This window comes from Homo sapiens, chromosome 2 (genome assembly GCF_000001405.40).
Source record: "Homo sapiens chromosome 2, GRCh38.p14 Primary Assembly".
In the NCBI taxonomy this organism is placed as follows: domain Eukaryota; kingdom Metazoa; phylum Chordata; class Mammalia; order Primates; family Hominidae; genus Homo; species Homo sapiens.
The window spans coordinates 118,430,230-118,434,228 of NC_000002.12; the positions used below are offsets into that span (position 1 = coordinate 118,430,230).

The 3,999-nt window shown below is 42.2% G+C and overlaps 1 annotated feature.

Moving 5' to 3' along the window:
* Positions 576-1,775: an enhancer, noted in NCBI's record as "CDK7 strongly-dependent group 2 enhancer chr2:119188381-119189580 (GRCh37/hg19 assembly coordinates)". NCBI's record gives its function as "activates an origin of replication core promoter dependent on BRD2, BRD4, P300/CBP, MED14 and CDK7 cofactors, with strong dependence on CDK7, by STARR-seq in HCT116 cells {active_cell/tissue: HCT116}" and the evidence as "EXISTENCE:reporter gene assay evidence [ECO:0000049][PMID:35650434]".

Below are 3,999 nucleotides of genomic sequence, written 5' to 3' on the forward strand. Positions count from 1 at the left end.
TTTTTATTGCAGAAGATTTGCCTGTGCATTGCAGGATAGTTAACAACACCTCTGGCCTCTACCCACTAGATACCAGTAGCATTTCCCCTTCCAAGTTGTGACCACCAAAAAAATGTCTCCAGACATTGCAAAATGTCCCTGGGGGACATCCTCACCCCTGGTTGAAAACCTTTGAATAGAATAAGGGCAAGAGGCCAAAGGACTGAACCCTAGAGTCCACCAACATCTGAAAAGAAGTAAAAGAAGAGGAGTTAGTGCGAGCAACCAAGAGAGGAGAGTTCTGAAAAAGAAGTGTTTGGAAAAGGAGATCTCCCCTCTAGGGAGATTACATAAGATATGGACAGAAAAAATGATGGATTTGGGGATTAGAAAGTCCCTGGTGACCTCCTTCATAGAACTGGTAAGGGAAGGAGACTGAAGGTGGGGAAATAAATGTAATGCGTGGGAGCAGAGTTAGAGAAGGTAAACTCTCAATGTGCTTGCGTAAGAAAGGAAGGAGGAGAGTGGTAATTAAAGGGGTGGGGTGTCAGGAGAGTGCCTTCTAAGATATGAGACTTCTTGTATCTTGCGAGGTGAGCAAGATACAAGAAATCTTGTATCTTATTTCTTTTTGAAATATCACACTTGATCCATAGAACAGGCTCAATAAACATACATTGGTTGAATTAGAAACTGCTTTTGTTACCTTTCTTGGACTTTGGATATTTTAAAACAAATCCAGGAAGAGAGCAATGTACAACACAAAGGGATGAATCACAAATGGCAGAATTTCAGACATGAGTCAGAGATATTTTGGGTGTAGACCTGCCCTGTGTCCTATAACCCTACCACCTACTCACCTCACATTTCTCATATGAACTGATTGTTCTCTTGTTCCCTTTTTTTGTTGTTGTTGCCAACGAGACTTTGTTCCCAAATTCAAGCCAGCCATGGGTAATTATTTCTCTCTTGACTAATTGACGATGACAACTACTAAATTGGGTAGATAGGGGACAAATTTGGTGTCTTAGTTTTTCCCGAACTCTTCAGGCTGGGAGAGATAGGAATGTTCCCCTGGATTGAATTGAACAAAATTGTACCATCAATCTTTAGGATATCTGCACTAGCTAATTAGATGCAAACAGTGACACATCAAAAACAAAACCCAACAGAAAACCTCCTAACTTATAATGTTGTCCTAAGGGCGGCAGCAGAGTACAGAAAAGAGAGGGGGGAAGAATATCTACCAGCAAGACTTTTGAGTGATGAGTTGTTGGTTTACCTATAGCTTATGAACATAATCTCAGCCTAAAAAGATGAACGGGAAGAGATTCTGAGAAAAAAATATATTATTTGAAGCATGCAGAATTGTAGTTTTGTAAAGCCACAAGCAGAGGCAGTTTGTTTCATTTGGTTTTGACTATAGCTCACGTCTTCTCCCCCAAAAGAACACAAAACCAGAAATAGCTGTAAAAAATTGATAACCAACATTATTTATATCAAGAACGATCCCAGATCATAGCCACTAAGAAGCCAGGACTTACTGAGGGCTGACTCAGAGCTCTTCTGTACATCACCGAGCCCGGTGCCCTCCAACGAGCAGTTGCTTGGCTCCTGTTTATTGAACTAAAATGGAGTGATTTTTTGAATTGATGCAGTTTAAAGTAGGATTTTGAATGTCTCATTTGATCTTAAATGAAAACGCAGAAAATCAGCTGGGCATCAGATGATGCCATTGGCCTTGAAGGGAACAGCTCTCAGGTAAGCCCCAATTTTTGATGTATTGCTGAACAGCCAGCTTAATCAGAACGCCTTTCCTGAAGCCTGCATGATGAGCAGTGACATGCTAATTGAAATGTACTTTCCCCAGTGAACCACTTAACAATTTATATAAATATCAAAGCCCTGGGCTTTACTGTCAGTCTTTGTTTTGGAATGAGAAATTTATAAAAAACATATGTTTCCAACTGTCATTGACAGAGTGTTCTTAAAATATGGCCACTGAATCACATCCGACTTTTCTTTCTGCAGACGCCGAACCAGTCAGGGTACATTTCTCTGTTAATAACATCTCCTTTCAGAAGGCATCTACTCCACACCAGGGTTTCATTACTGAAATCTGGGGAACTGTTGATAATGGAGGTGGCTTTGAGGGAAAGAATGCCCAGGGAAAAAGAGCTAATATATTTGAAATTCTAATTCTGGCAGGTGAGAAAAGGGAAATAGTTGGGAGAGAAACCACTGATCTCATTGCTGGCTTGGCAATCTTAATGAATAATACTGTCTTCTCTGGTAACTGTTACAGAGAAGTCTACGTCCCTTTTACAGGTGAAAGTTCTGTGATTGTGAGTGAAGTCGCTCCTGAATCTGGAGACCTTCTTGTTTGAATTGGAATAGGGACAGTCAGTCTGCGATCATAAGTCTGGCTTGCAGAGGACTTGGGAGTTGAGCTAAAAGTGTGAAATCCTGCAATAACTGTATCAACTGGGCCAGACAGAGTGTCTTTTGTCTTCTTAGGCTATCTGACTTTCCCATAGGGTTTCTTTCCCCTAACAGGCCTCAAATGGTGTCATTTAATAAAAAATGCCACTCGGGACAAGGTAGCTTGGGCCAACCACCATACGTGGTGAATATTCTAGTAACTCTAGTCATATGGGAGAGCTGAACAGGCTTAGACAGCTTGGGAAAAATGAGTGCTGAGAGTGGCACCAGCAGAGCCACAGGGCTGGAAGGGTGGAGGAGGTAGGTCATGTGTCAGTCCCTGTCCTCCACAAGCCCCCTGCAATCCATCTCCAAAATGCCACAGACCCTGAAACCATGCAATCGTGTTGCATCTAGTGCTGCATATAAATCTTTTAATGGCACGCCTTAAGCCTTGTGACATTTAGGCTGACTTTTTGGGAGGAAAAAATAAAGGAAGGAAGGAAGGAAGAAACTTCTGCTGGCAGCCAAGCGATCTGCATTTCATTTCAATTTAGATAGTTTTGCTCTACATTTTTTTCCCAAGGTTTCCTGGATTTCAATAATATATCTTTCATCACCAGATCACCAAAACGTGGTTATGCAGAGCTGTCTCAGGGGCTTTGGCCTGGATATCAGGGATTACTTCATAACTGGGAACTTATGAATTGTATTGGGTTTACAAATGACTTGTTTTTCTCAGTTTAATGGTTAAACCATGAAACTGATAACTTATTCCTAGAAGGGTATGTGCATGATATGTTAATGGGTCTTTGAGAACAGGATTTAAAAATTCACACACACACACACACACACACACACACACACACACACACACACAGTCAACTAGCTTTAAATAAGACATTTGCTGAGTAGATGAGCTCTGACTGCCACAAATCGCAGGCATTAAATTTTCCATTTTAATGTTTTCTTGCATTTCTCTACCCTTGACCCACCTATTGCACTTACTCTAAGAGCTTTGGGGCTGAATTTTTTTAACCTCTTGGCAGCTGTCATTTGACCCTGTAGTACAAGCAAGGCATTGTATAGCCCAGTGGACTTCTAGCAGGAGCCAACAGTGGAGGAACCCTGATCTCCAGCATGCACTGACTTGCATTGTGGGAGTCACTGGCTGGCAATGGGTGCAGGGGGTGGTGGGGCGGGGAAGGGCAAGTGAACATGGCACATTTCTGAGCACATCTGTTTTATTTCATATCAGTGTGATGGCTGTGGCTGGGCAGGGGGTAGCAGGAGGCGGGTCGATAGGTGGGGGGTTTCTGCAAAAGACATGTTTGGATTTCCATTTTACAGGGATGAAAGAACCTGTGTTTGCCAAATTGCAAACCCAAAGAAATATCCTGGGCTGGAAGTGGGGAATTCAACTGCAGCCTTTGAGGTGAAGGTGATTTATGGCTGGCCAAAGGAAGAGTCCAGGTCCACAAAATGAGGGAGGTGGGAATTGAGGAAGCAGCATGAGAAAATGAAAGAAGGATTGGAATTTTTCTGACTCTCCAAAAGCTGTCTCAGTATAATGTTGTGAGGAGTTAGGTGTAAATCAAT